The sequence below is a fragment of the Homo sapiens genome, chromosome 7 (assembly GCF_000001405.40).
Source record: "Homo sapiens chromosome 7, GRCh38.p14 Primary Assembly".
Taxonomy (NCBI): domain Eukaryota; kingdom Metazoa; phylum Chordata; class Mammalia; order Primates; family Hominidae; genus Homo; species Homo sapiens.
In genome coordinates this window covers 157,365,410-157,383,445 of record NC_000007.14, presented here as the reverse complement: position 1 = coordinate 157,383,445, position 18,036 = coordinate 157,365,410, and the positions used below count along the sequence as shown (strand labels likewise).

The 18,036-nt window shown below is 44.4% G+C and overlaps 1 protein-coding gene across 11 annotated transcripts in view, besides 1 other annotated feature; it reads right to left on the bottom strand.

The window, feature by feature from the left end:
* DNAJB6 (DnaJ heat shock protein family (Hsp40) member B6) overlaps positions 1 to 18,036 on the bottom strand; it is an 80,436-nt gene that overhangs the window by 33,994 nt on the left and 28,406 nt on the right. For 10 of the 11 annotated variants that reach the window (NM_058246.4, XM_006715823.3, XM_005249515.4 and 7 more), the window contains 3 exons: positions 16,885 to 16,944; positions 15,963 to 16,073; positions 1,069 to 1,200 (listed from right to left, as the gene is read on the bottom strand). In NM_058246.4, coding sequence (NP_490647.1) covers positions 1,069 to 1,200; positions 15,963 to 16,073; positions 16,885 to 16,944 — 303 coding nt within the window. The remainder of the gene's footprint in view (positions 1 to 1,068; positions 1,201 to 15,962; positions 16,074 to 16,884; positions 16,945 to 18,036) is intronic. The other variant, NM_001363676.1, reaches the window with a different exon arrangement.
* Positions 9,821 to 10,019: a silencer, noted in NCBI's record as "fragment chr7:157166121-157166319 (GRCh37/hg19 assembly coordinates)". NCBI's record gives its function as "represses an EF-1alpha promoter that drives an FKBP-Casp9 reporter gene in an ReSE screen in phorbol 12-myristate 13-acetate-treated (for megakaryocytic differentiation) K562 erythroleukemia cells {active_cell/tissue: K562(+PMA)}" and the evidence as "EXISTENCE:reporter gene assay evidence [ECO:0000049][PMID:32094911]".

Genomic DNA, 18,036 nt, shown 5'->3' with positions numbered 1-18,036 from the left:
TACCTAGATGGCATGAGCGCAATGTTCAAAGAAAATAAAATTCTGACCATGATGAAGAAGGAACCCTATATAACAAGCTCTCCCAATTCTTATCGTGGAGGCTTAAAAATAAAAATGAGAGAATCAAAACAGCAGCTCCAGGCCAGGAGTGGTGGCTCATGCCTGTAATCCTAGCACTTTGGGAGGCCAAGACGGGTGGATCCACCCGAGGTCAGTTCAACACCAGCCTGGCCAACACGACAAAAACCCTGTCTCCATTAAAAATACAAAAATTAGCTGGGCCTGCTGGTGCACACCTGTGATCCCAGCTACTCAGGAGGCTGAGGCACAAGAATCACTTCAACCCAGGAGGCGGGAGGCTGCAGTGAGCTGAGACCGTGCCACTACACTAAGAGTGGCACTCACTAAAGTGAGACTCTTTTTAAATTTAAAAACAAAACACAACAAAAAAAAAAGCTCCTTTGTGAAGAGAAACTGGATGAGCTTCAGAGAAAAGTGGGATTCTTCAGGCTAAACACACAGGCATATCATGATATATGCATATTCATGTTACTCCAGTCTACAAGCTTGTTTCCATCGGTGAACTATGAAGAGCTACGTGCGTGAGGCTGACACTTCACTAGTGAGTGAGCCTGGCCTGGGCTAGTGGTAAGGCCCAGCCTTCGATTCCATCCAGTGGGATGCTCCTAGGATGCTATTTGTGCACTTTTGTTTTAACTACAAAGGAGGTTAGACAGCATGAAGGTTAGTGAGATTTTCCAACTGCGTTACTTTCCACCTACTGATGCAGAACATATGTTGCCCCTTTTTAACTAAGAATTTCATTACATTCTGGCCTTGATTATTATATTAAGAGGAGAAGATTTCCAAGCACGACATTCTTAGGAAGATTAGGAGAAAATGTAGGTTAAGCGCAGACCTGTATACCAAAAAAAGCTGGCAAATCCACAATGCTATTCTACGAAAGGTATACACATATTTTAAAGCACTCTAACTAAAAGAGTATTATGATTTTATAAGTACTAACTGCTGTTAAGATAACAGAGATTAAACCTAGGGATTTAATACCTGTATCAAAAGAAGAAAATCCACTTCCAAAAGACGGAAATCCACTGAACGCAGAGAAAAACGACCCCGTCCCTCGGCTTCTGCTTCCTCGGGGACCCCTTCGATTCCCAAAGAAGTCCTCAAAAGGGTCTTCTAAAATCAAACATAAACACACACTATGAAGTCTTTTTTTCAAGTTTTTTTCCTCATGTGATAGCTACAGTAAGAGAAAATAGATGTTTGTAACATATTCAGGAACAAAAAACTTAAGAGGTTTTAACAAAAGAGCTTATCTACAGAGTAACTGAAACACTACCTCACCAACAGTTTTACTAACTAGTTTAATTCAACTAAAACTACAATACATTGTATCAAATAAATTACCAGACTTAATTAAAAAAACAGCACATACACACATTCTTTATGGAGGACCAATATGCACTTCAAACTCAGCTCTTTTCACGTCACTGATGTGAGGTCAAGACGCTGTTCCTGCTACGACCACTGGAAAAGTGAGAAAAGCTTCACACGGCAGCTGTTGTATTCCTTGGAGTCTGAGTTGCCTTCTCCAAAGCAATTCAGAAACAAACAGAAAAATGGATTACCCTAACATGCGCGCGCCCACACACACACACACACACACACACACACACGAGGAATGGTGTGGCCATGTAAGCTAAGTGTAAATACCTGATGAATCTCGGCAAAGGAAATTCCTTTTATTCTAAGTTTGATGTCTCAAAAAACTTTTAAGGATTAGCTGAAATCAAATCTGAACAAATGTTAACAAGCAGACGTAAGATGATGCTTGAAGATGTCTCAACAGAAAATCACCGACATGAGGAAGCATCACGCTGCCAAGTGGAAACACAAAGTGCTCCTGGAAATCAAGATCGGAACTGACCGTTTTGTTTTCCTCTGTTGCTGTTATCAATCAATGAGTACTTACTAAAAATTCATAAAGCATACAAACCTTTTTAATTTACCTGGGTTCTGCGTTAATAATTACTGTAATTTTTTCAGAAAAATGGGAAACCTGTGATAAAAGCAAGGAATCCTAATAGGTGCATTAAGACATAAACGCATGCAAGGTAAAGACAAAGGCAAGCTAGGACCAACTACAGAATTAGTACGGCCTACTTGCAGGCCAGAGCAACCAAAGCAGGGAGTGGATACATTTGAGTCACAAATGTTAACAATAAATACTGCAGCACACAAGGATACAACAGCAAGCACTGAAATCAAGCAGAAATCGAGATTCATGAAGCAACTGAGGTTATGAACAAGAGTGACTTGATCCAGCTACTCTGGAGGCTGAGTGGGAGGATTCCTTGAGCTCAGGAGTTTGAATCCAGGCTGGACAACACAGCAAGACTTTGTCTCTACTAAAAAAAAAAAATGCAGTGACTAGAGAAAAGCAGCACCTGAGGTTGACTCTGACCACAGTTTGAAAGGACCGACGTACAGGTGGGCAGCCAAAACCCTGAGACGCTGGGTACCCCCAGGACCCGCAAATAGTAAATAGTGAGAAGCAAAGGCTGAGGAAGCTTCCGCAGAGCAGGGAGGGCAGAGGTCCACACCGGACTACTATAGAGCTCGTCAGAATGAAACTGGCCAGTTGGCTTTACCCAATGCCAAGCCCAAGGCATTGAGTCCCAAAGAAACACTGGGAGAATTGGTCACTGGTGACTTTTTGGAAAAGGTGGCCAAGAGACAGAAGAGGAAGAAGGCATGCACAGCCAGTGCCCGGACACCCCACGCACCAACCTGCCCCTCCGCCCACAAACCAGCGTGTGAGGTGGAGACCTAGAGGAGGAGTGCCAGAATGGGGATGCCAACAAGAAGTTACTCAAACGGTTACTGACTGTGCAAGTTACTGCCCACATTCCACAGTCAATGCCCCCCACCCATAAAAATAATGTAAGATGGTCATAGGTACTTTGCAAACAGACCTTACCGTCCCCCACTGTTCTATTCAAAGACAAGAAAGAACAAAAGCAAAGATGTTAAATCATAACCTTTTATCTGAAACTAGGAACATTTTGTGAATTTCTCTAGGACACAAAAACTTCATCCAATTCAAATAAAAATCCAAGCATGCTATTTAGAAACTTTCTACTTTGCAGCCATAGCCTGCACACCATTGTGTCACTTAGGTATTCTATCTCACGTATCTACAACATATCCTCCCAGGTAAAGAAACAAACATTACAAATACAGTTAAAACTGATTATGCGGTAACTCTCTTCATCTCCCCTAGGAGGTGACCGTTAAAAAGCATTTCCGGGAGGGTGCAGTGGCTCACAGCTATAATCCCAGTACTTTGGGAGGCCGAGGCGGGCAGATCACTTGAGGTCAGGAGTTTGAGACCAGCCTGGCCAACATGGTAAAACCCTGTCTCTACTAAAAATACAAAAAAGTTAGCCAGGAGTGGTGGTGGGCATCTGTAGTCTCAGCCACCCAGGAGGCTGAGGCACGAAAATTGCTTGAACCCCGGAGGTGGAGGATACAGTGAGCTAAGATCACACCACAGCACTCCAGCCTGGGCAGCAGAACATGAGTCCATCTCAAAAAAAAAAAAAAAAAAAAAAAAGGCATTTCTGCATTTCCATAAATTGAAGACATTAGCATATATCTGTAGTTCCAGCTCCTGAGGAGGCCAAGGCAGGAGAGATCCCTGGAGGTCAGGGGTTCAAGACCAACCTGGGCAACATAGCAAGACCCCTTCTCTACAATAAATTTAAAAATTAGCCAGGTGTGGTGGCACACCATCTTTAGTCCCACCTCCTTGGGAGGCTGAGGCAGGACTGCTTGAGCCCAGGAATTCAAGGCTGCAGGGAGCTATGATCACACCTGTCGACAGCCACTGCACTCCAACCTGGGTAAGAGTGTGACAGTGAGAAAGGCACTCATGTGGCCAGTCTCACTGTCCATATCTGAGTCCCTAAACCAAGTTATTCTCACTGTCCATACCTGAGTCCCTAAGCCAAGTTGTAGAGTTAAACTCTACGTTTACATCCTTCCGCAATTTCCCATTTATCAATGCTAAAACATTGGTTTAGTCACAATTTCTTTAAATCCATGGCAACTAAACCCTTAGAAGTTGTCCACAAGGCACTGAGCTTTTACATGCATCTTGAACCCGTGTCTCAGTGGTAACAGTACTAACCAAGTGATTTTAACTGGTTTGCATTCTAAGCTAAATTAAGACAATGACATTCATAATTATATCATCATCTACAGAAGCTACCTCAAAAGCTGGCTGAGTACTATGTTATGAGAAGGCCAATGCTTTTCCGTTCCATTTTCTTGTATGAAAAAAATCTTTATCTTGTTTATTTCTCTACTGACATTTTGTAGCTTAAATATAATTTTTCACAATTCAGGTATTCACTGAATTTTAACTCGTATAATTTCAAATATTAAAATCACAAATTACCCTAAAAATGAAGTCTCATTTGTAACAGAAACAGTGCTAAGAAACATTAAAATAATTTCAAAATTTATAATATTTAAAGACCAGTTAAAAGTTGCCACTTGAGATCAGACAAGTCCTTATTTCAAGTAAGAGCTACTTATCATGTGCTGGTTTCTGTCGTTTTGAAAAGCAATCTAGAAGTATGTATTAAGCTTTTAAAACCTTCAGCCCCCAAAATAAAACCAATATTTTTATTATAAAAAACCCTCAACCCAGCAATTCTACGTCAGGGAACTCAACTCATCCCAAAACGTGGAACTAAGTTGCTGAGCGTGCGTAACCATGCACAGGCAAGCAAGCATGTGAAGTGCAGACTTGAAGTGTTCGTGGCTAGCAGAGCTGGAGAGAAATGCAAGGAAGCCTGTGGGCATCACAACTATACAGCGCACGCTACAACGCACAACCATACAGCGCGTGCTACAATGCTCCCGTGGGGCTCCGACCGCGGGCATCACAACTATACAGCACGTGCTACAACGTTCCTGTGGGGCTCCAACTGGGGTGGAGGGGCAAGACCTCCTCCTCCTCTCACCTCATTCCCATTTTCAAATCTTAAACCCAGCATGTATTATTACTTTTGGATTTATAAACAACTGATCATACTTTTATACCTTAGAAATAAATCTTAAGACACGTGTTAATCAAATGTGCTACCAACTTCTTTTTTACTTTACCTCACCAGAAAGAACCACAACCAGTGAGGTGCCTGCTGAAGGCCACAAGACCACAGAATGGGCAGTGGAAGAAAGTGGCTGTGTCCACAGGACCAGTTACAGGAACGAGGACCATCAATGCCTGGAGTATTTCCTCCTTATTTTGTGACCAATACTTGTCATATATAATCTATGCATGTTATATTTAGGCACATAGCAGTTTTCTTCCCTCTCTTATCCTCTTATGTAATACACACATATTGCCTATTAAGTTACCCCGTATCAAGGAGAACCGTAAACATCACAGGAGAACGTGACCTGCGCTGGGCAAGGGGCTAGTGCACTGTTGGTTGTCTGTGGGATAGTGGATCGTGTTAGGTGGCTATGACCTTGTTCTTGCCCTCACTTGACGATTAAGCCCTGGGTTAAGGAAATGCATATGGGTGCCAAGTTGACAACAGATGGACATGTGGTTGATTTCATGTTCAGGTTAACTGGGCCATGCACAGAGTTCCCAAATATTGAGCCGAACATCCTTCTGGGTGATTCTGGATGAGATTAGCATTTGGATCAGGAGACTGGTAAAGCAGCTTGCCTCCCTAATGTGGATGGGCCTCGACCAATCACCTGGGGGCCTGTGATCCCCACCCCACACCATCCCACCCCGGGGGAGGAGACTGCTCCAGTCCTGACAGATTTTACTGGCTAGCTTCCACAGTGGTGAGGGTTAGAGTCGTGAGCACCTTCCTTGTAATACACGTTTCTCCCCCAGTGGCAGTTTCTCTAGACTCATGCAGATTCTGCAAAGCAAAACATGTATGCTCATCTCTTCAGAAGCATCTTTAAATGGGTCTTCAAACCTTAACTTTGTATCCTGAGGTACAAACATTACTTGAAACAGCATTAGGATTTAACTCTTGAGGACTGAGTTCTGATTTTTTATCTTGCCCAAATTCCTACCTAAGGGGTCTGGGGAGTCATGCCCTACAAACCATTTGAAATTGTCCTGCAAAGCCATCCTTTGTGGGGGAAATGTGCATCTGTGAACAGTCTTATTAACATGGCTAGATCTTTTTCTTCCAGACCCTCCCAATCCTGAAGAGATTAACTGAAAGTCTAGCACATGTTAAAGGTCTGAAAAGGAAACATTTGTCATCTATTGTCTCTAAGGGCAGCCACTATGAGACTTCAAAGGAACCTTCATCTCCACGATCTTTTATCTTAACCTGAACATTTTTTTTCTATGATCCCAGGTCTTTAGACAAACTCAACCAATTGTCAACCAGAAAATGTTTTCATTCACCAACAGTCTGGAAGCCCCCCTGCTTTGAGCTGTCCTGCCTTTCTGGGCCAAAACAATGTATTTCTTTTTGTTTGTTTGTTTTCCCAAGACGGAGTCTTGCTCTGTCGCCCAGGCTGGAGTGTAGTGGCGCGATCTTGGCTCACTGCAACCTCTGCCTCCCAGGTCAAGCAGTTCTCCTGCCTCAGCCTCCCAAGTAGCTGGGATTACAGGTGCCTGCCACCCCGCCTGGCTAATTTTTTTATTTTTAGTAGAGGTAGTGTTTCACCATGTTGGCCAGGCTGGTCTGGAACTCCTGACCTCAAGCGATCCATCCGCCTCAGCCTCCCAAAGTGCAGGGATTACAGGTTATGATCTGATTGATGTCTCATGCCTCCCTATAATGTATAAACCAAGCTGCACCCTGACCACTTGGACACATGTTCTTGGGACTCCTGAGGCTGTGTCACCAGCATGGTCACTTATATTTGGCTCAGAATACATCTCTTCAAATATTTTACAGTTTGACTCTTTTCAGTGACACTTCTTCCATTTCAACATTCTGGGCATCGTATAGCAAGAGCTTCTTTAAAATTTTGCAATATCATGCTATTCCCTGAGGAATACTAAGACCAATGCATTAAGGGGCCCATAACATTAACAAGATACTAAACTGACTATCTAAAGAACAGTCACAAATTTATGACCAAAAAATATATATATACAATGAACAGTGTGAGAAAACTGACCACAAAACACATGTAACAAACATTTACCCACATACAAACTTGAAGAACACTGAGGAAGTGGAGAACATGTTTTAAACCCACACATTTTCTCTGAGCTTTACCAAGCATGAGAACCTGATGGAACAGGAACAGCTTCACAACGAAGCGAAGGGATTCCCACCAACCACGTTCATCTCAGGGCAGCACTAAGCTCGCCCTTCCTCAGCACACTCCCAGCCGCGGCCCAGGAGAGGCCTGCTGTCATGATTTCAGGACCCACTGTCAATTCCCCAAGTGCACAGAAAAGCTGGAACAAAAAAATGACAGCAAAACAAAACTGAAAAAGCACCATGGCTATTTCAAACAAAGGAAAATATGTCACTCTCTCCTCAAGTTCCAAAGCTAAAACCTAGACAGCCGCCCTCAAAAGGGAGAAACGCTTGAGATTCAAAAGGCAAGCATGAAAGACAGACTTCCTCTGCTCTCCCAACTCCTCTCAAAACCAGGCACTCATTTATTACAACTCACATTTTCAGAAGTAGCAAATAACCTAACTGTTAGGAATCTGGAATACAACACGCAATGGGAGCCAATGAAGAACACGGCCGGAGCTCCGCCCTGAAGTGCACGCCCTGAGAACAGGGCTTCAGTGTTTCTCTCCACTGCCAAACCAGCACCTAGAATAGTGCCTGGCACTAAACAGCAGGCACGCCATATTTGTTAAATGAACACCACCATTTTCAGCTTCCCATATAATTGTTTTTTATTACAAGTATAATTTCTAGCTACTTCCCAGGTCTGGTTAGAGTAATCTGTTTCCCAAAAGTTACAAAAATCTATCGAAGTCAAAGAATCCACAATACACTGCAATCAAATTATTCTATTTCAAATACAAAAGAGCCAACATGAGATGAGGAACTCTGGCGTCAGGAGGAATGGGCCTCTTCCCAACCACAGTCCTCATTGCTCAGGGAAGAAACCACCAGAACAGCAGCAGGCTCCAGGCTCTTTTCTGAGCCCTACTCGCAGATGGCCGATTCATCTTTCCTCCACCATCACACCTTCCACCTCACTGTCCCCCTACACTATCATACTGCCTATAAATACTGGTATTCCCTAAACCTGTCAAAGCCCAACACAGTATCAGGTCTGCCTGCAGCCTCAAGTTTAAATCACTCTTCCTACATCTTGCACCTACAGTCCCAGAACATCTCCCCCTGGGAGCACTAAGGATACGGCAACTATCTCAATCTCTGGAGTTGTCCACAAGTTGACCAGGGACCAAAATCCCACTGGAAACAGATGATGCGAAAACCCAAACTGACAAAGGACTCAGGCAACGTCTTGCTCAGGTGACTGTCATGCCAACAATGTGAACCAAACACTATACAAAGACCTGTTAGGGGGACCAACACCACAAAATACAAGGGAGGAAACACCACAGAAACACTGCCCACAAACTCTTACAGCATGGCTCAAGCCTTTTAGAGGGGTAGCCAGAGCCTCAGTTCTCACAGCACAGAAAATTCTCAAAATGACCGTTTCCAGGAACCATTTCCTCTCCCTATTTAAGGGAGGACGTCAGAGGAAACAAAGGTCCTGAAACGACCAAGTATGTACTGAAAAACAGCACAAAAGAATCGCAGATCACTAACATGGCACCCATCCTCACTAGCCAGGATAATTTTCAGTAGAAATGAACGGCCTGGCACGGTGGCTCATGCCTGTAATCCCAGCACTCTGGGTGGCCGAGGTGGGTGGATCGCCTGAGCTCAGGAGTTCGAGACCAACCTGACCAACATGAAGAAACCCTGTCTCTCATAAAAATACAAAATTAGCCGGGCGCGGTGGCACATGTCTGTAATCCCCGCTACTTGGGAGGCTAAGGCAGGAGAATCACTTGAACCCGGGAGGTACAGGTTGCAGTGAGCCGAGATCACGCCACTGCACTCCAGCTGGGCGACAGAGTGAGACTCCATCTCAAAAAAAATGAGATACTTCCAAAAAACAGCTCCATCTCAACACGAGGAGTTCTCAAATACGCACACAACCATACATGAGTTTGGCATGTTCTCCAAGAAACTCTCACCAGATGAGAGGAAGAGCGCGTGGGGATGCCGGGCGGGACTGCCCACTGCTTCACGACCATGTGAAATTACACACAAGGATGGTTCCAACAACTTTAGCTGGAAACCAGTCTCGTACATCACGGTTTCATTTTTTAACCTTTTTTTCTTAAATTTTTAGAGATGGCATCTCATTATTTTTCCCAAGCTGGACTCGAACTCCTGGGCTCAAGGAATCTCCTACCTCAGCCTCCCCAGTAGCTGGCATTACAGGGGTACACCACCATGCCTGGCTTAGTATGTGATGTTTTTATGTGTATTTAAAAAGACTCCTTAACTTCTTCTAAGTGACCTGTGTGTAGGTGTGCCTGTGTATGAACTCTGTCCAAAGTAATCAAAGAACACTCATTACAAACAAACTGCTGTAGCGCCGTGTAATGATAGTGGGTCCAGGTCACCAGCACACACCGATCCAATCTGCTGTGCCACTCCCATGCCTGTACTTGACCCCTAACTTCTAGCTCTCATTAACACATCTAACTTTGGCCAGGCATGGTGGCTCACGCATGTAATCCCAGCACTTCGGGAGGCCAAGGCAGGCAGATGACCTGAGGTCAGAAGTTCGAGACTAGCCTGGCCAACATGGTGAAACTCCGTCTCTACTAAAAACACAAACATTAGCCAGGTGTGGTGGTGGGTACCTGAAATCCCAGCTACTTGGGAGGCTGAGGCAAGAGAATCACTTGAACCTGGGAGGCGGAAGTTGCAGTAAGCTGAGACTGTGCCACTGCACTCCAGCCTGGGTGACAGAGCAAAACTCTGTCTCAGAGCGAGGGGTGAGGGCACATGTCTAACTTTAAAGGTTCCTCCTCCTTTCACCTTTCAAAATTTGCTGCTTGGCTGTGAATTTCAAAGACTAGCACAAAAATCTACCCGTTAGAAATATGATGTTAAAGTGGTTGAATCATGGTCCCCAAAAAAGATTAAATTAGAGTCCTAATCCCCAGTACCTGTGAATGTGACCTTACTGGGAACAGGCTCTTTATAGATTATCAAGTTAAGATGAAATCATTACAGTGGGCACTAAGCCAATATAAATGATGTCCTTATAAAAAGGGGGAACTTGTGGCTGGGCACAGTGGCTCATGCCTGTGATCAGTTACTTGGGAGGCTGAGGAAGGAAGACTGCTTGAGCCTAGCGGTTGGAGGCCAGCCTAAGCAACACAGTGAAATCTGTCTCTAAAACATTAAATCCAATGGACACAGAGACAGACACAAAGGAGATGATGTCAACATCGGATGGGCCATCCGTCTGCAAATGTAGGGAGAAGAACAGCTGGGGAAGGGCCTGGAGCAAGACGGGACACATCTCAGCCTCAGAAGCAACCAGCCCTGCAATACCTGGGTCTCACATGGCCAGCCTCCAGGACTGGGAGATGGTACATTTTGGTAGTTTAAGCCCCCGGTTTGTGGTACGGATCAAACTCAAGGCTGTCTTCAGGGTCTGTGCTCTGGCTTCTAGGGAAAGAGCCTACGAGACGCCCGGCCTGTGCTTCAGGGCTGCCACCTCCCTCTCTTGCTTCTTCAGTTCTATCTCCAAGGCAGCTGAGGTCGTCTGACCAAGGACAGTATCAAGGCACTAGAGGAAACCATTTTATTCTAGATACACTGTTTTAAGTCAGTCCCACTCGGGCAGCTCCTTGACACTTTATGGTGGTGCCGGCAGCGCCCCAGCTCTGGCCCGCTGTGCTCCTCCTCACTCAGCGGCTCCTCGCACTCCTCGCCGAGCTCCTCTACGTCCCCAGGGCTGGCCCCGTCCTCGCTGGATATGAGCCCCAGCTCCTCGCTGAAGGGCTCGCCCAGGCCCCAGTTACATCCTGTGCAGGCCTCGTCCTCACTAGACAGTGCCAGGTCCTTGCTGGATATCAACACATCCAAGGCCTCACTGTTCTCTTCACCAGGGCTGTCCTCTGTGGCCTCCTCCACCCTGGGCAGCTCTACTAACTCCTCACTAGGCTCCAAGTCCTCACCGGCCACTTCCTCAAACCCTGGGAGAGTAAAATGACTGACTACTATCATAATTTAATCACAGGTCAGAAAGTCAGGTTACTATCCTCAATGCACTCATTTTTCCTGCAAGAAGTCTGCTTTCCTTGGTTCTACATACCACAGGACTCCTCCTCTATTGCTACAGAGCATCATTCGTACCACAGTGATGCTTTACAAAGGAAAAACTTGCTGCACTGCTAAAATAAAAGGCCTCTCTGGAAACCTTAAAGGTTCGCTTTGGTTTTCCAAGAATATAAATAAAATGTGAAGTTAAACCCACAGGCTTTTCCCAGATGTAATGCCTGCTGTGACTAATGGGATCAAAAGGCACTATTATCAGGTACCCTTTCTTTCCTATCTCAGAACATCATTTCACTGAGCAATAGGGTCCTCTAATAATAAAATAAAGAGAGCATCCTAATTCAAATAAGTCCACTGCCTATTAATATTTTCCAATTAACATTTCGACAAGAGCTCATTTGCATGTGCTCCACATTCTGGAAATTTCGACAGTCACCTAGCCTCAGCAGTTTTGATTGTACCCCTCCAATTCAGAGGCAGCATTCCTTCCAGGCTGGTGTTAGAATCCGCCTCCGCGACCTCTCCTGGGAGGGCTTCTTCTGTAAAGGACGGGTTCCACACCGCAGGCCCCAGGCCCAAGTCTCCTTGGCCACAGTGTGACAGTGAGCACTGCCTGGTGCTCAGGCACAGACCTGCATACCATGTGTCCAACATCCGGCACCCCTTCACCCTTCCCCACCTATCATGAGGGAGGTCTGAAGTACAGCAGGGGTTCTGCATTCTGATAAATGTAAAGTGCAGCTCGGAAATATCTTACAGCACATTTTAAACTACTTTTTCGTCACGTGGAAAGTACACCAGGTCTAGTAAATATGATTTGTCAACAGCGGTCCCCAACCTTTTTGCCACCAGGGACTGGTTTCATGGAAGACAATTCTTCCACACAGTGGGTGATGGGTTGGGGTAGGGGGATGGTTTCAGATACTGGATTCTGATGAGGAATGCGCAACCTAGGTCCCTCGCGTGTGCAGTTCACAATAGGGTTTGTGCCCTTATGAGACTCCAATGCTGCCACTGAGCTGATAGGAGGTGGGGCTCAGGCAGTAATGCTTGCCTGCCTGCGCGCCGCTCACCTCCTGTTCCCAACAGGCCAGTTCGTAACAGGCCACAGACCAGGGTGTTGACCCCTGAACTACATCATGAATAAGCGGAAATCCCTCTGGCTCTGCATCCACACCCATCTACATTAAACATACCGTCAGCAGGCTGCTCAGTGACTACATACATATAGCAGCCATGGAGCAGCAGCTTCCCCAGTGTGTAAATCCTGAGAGCCTGAAAATGGAAGTCATCTAGAACACCTATAAGAACGGAATGAACAAGTATCACTGCCACACTAATCATGGGAAACACAGGGTACCTGGTCTTAAAATAGGTCTGCATGTAAAATGGAGCATTTAACAGTAAAGCGCTTCAGTAAGACTAGCACCTCTCTCCTTGGACTAGGGGTAAAAACTCACTTATTCACTCACATCTAATTAGATCTCTATACCTTCTTTACAAGTAATTGCTCTATGGCTTGGTGTATCAGATTATTTTCCCCAAGGAAAACAAAAATTAGCTACAATTCAGTCACTAAGGGACCCTTCCCCTTTGAATTAAAATAATAATCATAATGTTAAGAAAGGACCTGTTTAATCATAATGTTAAGAAAGGGCCCATTTAATAATAATGTTAAGAAGGTCCTGTTTAATAATCATGTTGAGAAACGGCCTGTTTAATAATAATGTTAAGAAGGGGCCCGTTTAATAATAATGTTAAGAAGGGGCCCATTTAATAATAACGTTAATGAAAGGCCGGTTTAATAATAATGTTAAGAAAGGGCCTGTTTAATAATAATGTGAAGAAAGGGCCTCTTTAATAATAATGTTAAGAAGGGGCCTGTTTAATAATAATGTTAAGAAGGGGCCCGTTTAATAATCTTAAGAAGGGTCCCATTTAATAATAATGTTAAGAAGGGGCCTGTTTAATAATAATGTTAAGAAGGGGCCCGTTTAATAATAACGTTATGAAAGACCTGTTTAATAATAATGTTAAGAAAGGGCCTCTTTAATAATAATGTTAAGAAGGGGCCTGTTTAATAATAATGTTAAGAAAGGGCCCGTTTAATAATCTTAAGAAGGGTCCCGTTTAATAATAATGTTAAGAAGGGGCCTGTTTAATAATAATGTTGAGAAGGGGCCTGTTTAATAATAATGTGAAGAAGGGGCCCGTTTAATAATAACGTTATGAAAGGCCTGTTTAATAATGATGTTAAGAAGGGGCTCGTTTAATAATAATGTTATGAAAGGCCTGTTTAATAATAATGTTAAGAAGGGGCCTGTTTAATAATAATGTGAAGAAGGGGCCCGTTTAATAATAACGTTATGAAAGGCCTGTTTAATAATAATGTTAAGAAGGGGCCTGTTTAATAATAATGTGAAGAAAGGGCCTCTTTAATAACAATGTTAAGAAGGGGCCTATTTAATAATAATGTTGAGAAACGGCCTGTTTAATAATAATGGTAAGAAAGCCCTGTTTAATCATAATGTTAAGCAGGGCCTGTTGAAGACGCCCGGTCTCAGACATCACGAGGACAGCCCGTTTCACCTCGTGTGCCCCAGAAGAGAAGCCATGGTGTTGGAAGAGCGGGCCTTCTTCCTCGCTTGGTCACCATGAGAATCACCGATCAGAACACAGGACTTCAACCCAAACACTGCCCTGTCCTGCAAAGCAACAAATGCAGTTTGCTGAAGGCTACAGCAAGATGCAAAGGTCATTTTTAAGACAGAGATCAATCCGTAAATTATTTTTCTTAGAGAAATATTTCTTGCCTGTGAGGGTTGATGAAGGACGGATGTAAACATGGTTCTTTCTTGAGCTCTGTTTCTGCTGATGGCAGCAGTGATTACAGCAAATGCACTTAAACGATGAGCACGCCAGTCTCCCGGTCCCCTAATCGGAAATCGCCTGCTCAGCTTCAGTTTCCCTGAAAATGCTTGAGGCCACTGACTGTCCTTCCTCCCTCAGAAAGGGGCTCTCTTCAAGCCAGCCAGCCCATAATAAGGTGTAAGAACAACCTCTTTGAATCCCCATTTGAGACACACTGAAGAACTGCACCATGCAAAAGGCCCAAGACCTACCAGATATGAGAGTGATTATGCTTCTTCGTGCCTGCGGCAGGCAGGAGCTCCACGTTTCTCCCCTGTATTATCTGTAGACACAACTACTCTTCTCTTTCCCTCCTCGAGTTGCAGGTGGTGTTCAGTTTCTTCACCCAAGCTCCAGGCAATGAAGGAGGTAAACATACAATGTGTTTCCCTTTCAATAAGTCAAAAGACAAAAACAACTACAGGAGTACATGTTTAATCCTGACCTCTCAGGTCACCCAGTGCACCACTCAGGAAGTCCCAGTGGTTGAGAAGACTCTAACAGGAGACAGCTAACAAAAGTGCCTGACCCAAACTGTGCCCAAGACATACACCAACGCCTAGGACCAGGCATCAGGACTGAGATGCCACTGATGAGAAATCCATTTTCCTACAATCAAACAGCAGCTATAACAGCACTGTCTCCCTTAACAAAACCATTCTCTCCTCAGCAAAGGCCTCCGCAGTCTTGCTCTAGAGGTGCCTTTCCGCAAACTCTCAACAACAGTCCTCACACACAATGTTTACGGATGAAAGGTCTTGCCAACAGTACTATGGTGCTTAATGATTTTACCAGGAATATGATGTGGCAAATTCACACACCAATTGGTTGTTCAATGGGAAACAACGTTTCCAAGACACTCGCACCCATGCCCTTACCACTGTCTCTTCTGAGGGCAAAAGCAAGTTAATTAAGGCCATACATAACAAAGAAAAAAATACATTAAACCCTTTATTATTTTAATTTTTCAAGCTGTAACTTAAATTTTCAAAGAGGAAGAAGAGAAAAGATTTTACAGCTACTGTGCTGTTTTATTTTTTTGAGACAGGGCCTTGCTCTGTCACCCAAGCTGGAGTGCAGTGGCCCAATCTCAACCTCCCAGGCTCAAGGAAATCCTCCCACCTCAGCCTCCCAAGTAGCTGGGACCACAGGCACACGCCACCACACTCAGCTAATTTTTAGTATTTTTTTTGTTGTTGTTGAGACAGGGTTTCACCATGTTGTTCAGGCTAGTCCAATGCTGCTTTAAACACAAAGTTTCGTGACAAAATACAATGTTAACTTTTTTTTTTTTGAGACAGGAGTTTCACTCTTGTTGCCCAGACAACAATGCAATGGCATGATCTCAGTTCACCGCAACCTCTGCCTCCCGGGTTCAAGTGATTCTCCTGCCTCAGCCTCCCAAGTAGCTGGGATTACAGGCATGCGCCACCATGCCCGGCTAATTTTGTATTTTAATAGAGACGTGGCTTCTCCATGTTGGTCAGGCTGGTCTTGAACTCCCAACCTCAGGTGATCTGCCCGCCTCAGGCTCCCAAAGTGCTGGGATTACAGGCATGAGCCACCGCGCCCAGCCTAAAATACAATGTTAATTCAACAGAAAGGCCATACTAAGTAAGCCCTCATTTGGGTCATGGACACACACCAAGTCAACCCACGTGATTAACTTACCAAAGAAGTCAAATGAAAATGGGTCCCTTCCACCAAAAAATTCCCTGAAGACATCATCTGGGTTACGGAATGTGAAGCCAAATTCAAATGGACTGTCAAAATGACTTCCACCTGCACAAATACAACACAGCTTTTAGTTTATGAATTTTGGTGCTTTGTAGGCAAAGAATTCTTTGTTGACAAAACATTATACAAATCATGAACTAATAAAAACAAAAATATTTCATAAACCTGAAGTTCTCTATAATTCAAAACATGAGCCCTGTACTGACAGAGAGTGAGTGTGCCCAGCGCTGATGGCATATGAGTGCAGCAGTGGCCCCTTCGACACTACTTTTCACCATCTCTAAATCCGTGATCGGCATATAACATGTAACATTACACACCATTTTTATGATTTGTTATGAAGGTTTATGAAGACCAAGAGTATCTGCATCCACTTCGACGACTGGCCTCCTGGAGCCACAGAAGCTGCCGCGTGGCCCCAGTGGGTTTGGAGCAATAATTTCCCAACACCCCTGGGGAGGCTGGTCACAGCCCAGTGACCGTGGGAACTTTTGGGGACAAAGTCCACGCCCTTCAAAGTCATTATTTTAGCTTTTCAGGAAAATCTGCTCTTTAAACCCTTAGGATATTTTGACATAACGTCAAGTGCTGATCTAAGGGTATATGTTCACAATATATTGCAGTATGGTTACAAATTGTTTCTATCTATAAAAAATACATCAACATATACTTCTAGTCTCGTAAAAGACTTTTAAATGCCATCAATTTCTCTGTCCTCTCCCCAATTTAGTTCGCTTTCTACGTTGCATCTCTATTTACTGATACAAAATCGACTCTGACCAAGAGACTCGTGATTTACAAACTCAACTTACTTGCCAAGACCTTTTGTCTTCAAAGAAAAAACTCACGTACTTACCTCCTCCTCCACCATTTAATCCTTCTTTGCCATATTTGTCATAGATGTCCCGTTTCTTAGCTAAAAATTGAAAGAAAAGTCGGTAAGGCCAAGTTCCTTTTAAACCCTTAATTCAATAGATAAGGTATTTCCCCAGTTGTAAATCAGTTTTCGATGTTTTACAACTGAATTTCAAGGAGTATGGCCACCTTTTCTTTAAAACAAAACAAAGCAACAGGGAAAACTTTCTGTACCTCTCTCCTGAAAAACAATTCAAAAAAAATTCAGTATGTTGAATTTTTACAAGTTATTAGAAATATTTAAGTATTTACGGCCAGGCATGGTGGCTCACACCTGTAATCCCACCACTTTGGGAGGCCAAGGTGGGCAGATCACCTGAGGTCAGGAGTTTGAGACCAGCCTGGCCAATATGGTGAAACCTCATCTCTTGTAAAAATACAATAATTAGCCAGGCGTGGTGGCAGGCACTTGTAATCCCAGCTACTCAGGAGGCTGAGGCAAGAGAATAGCTGGAACCCGGGAGGCGGAGTTTGTGGTGAGCCAAGATCGTGCCATTGCACTCCAGCCTGGGCAACAAGAGTAGGCGCGGGGGGGACTTAGCCACGCGAGGTAGCTCATACCTGTAATCCCAGCACTTTCAGAGGCCGAGAAGGGCCGATCACCTGAGGTCAGGAGTTCGAGAGCAGCCTGGCCAACACGGAGAAACCCAGTCTCTACTAAAAATACAAAATTAGCCAGGCATGGTGGCGCATGCCTGTGATCCCAGCTACTCAGGGGACTGAAGCAGGAGAATCGCTTGAACCCAGGAGGCAGAAGTTGCAGTGAGCCCAGATTGCACCATTGCACTCAAGCCTGGGCAACGAGCAAAACTCCATCTCAAAAGCAAAAAAAAATTTTTTTCTTTATTCCATTAGATCGTTTCTTTCACTCTACTGCACAGAGCCCAGACATGCTACATTAAAATCACACGACCAAGTACAAGATTATTGCAACCACAGAAGTGCACCATCTTACTACAAAAACCCAATTAGAGGACCATATCTGCAGCACGAAAACAAACATGCCAGGGCCTAGGCAAGTGGGAGAAAGCAGATGTGCCAGAAAGGCGCCAACCTAACACCCTACAGGCTCATTCACCCTCGAAGTGGACCA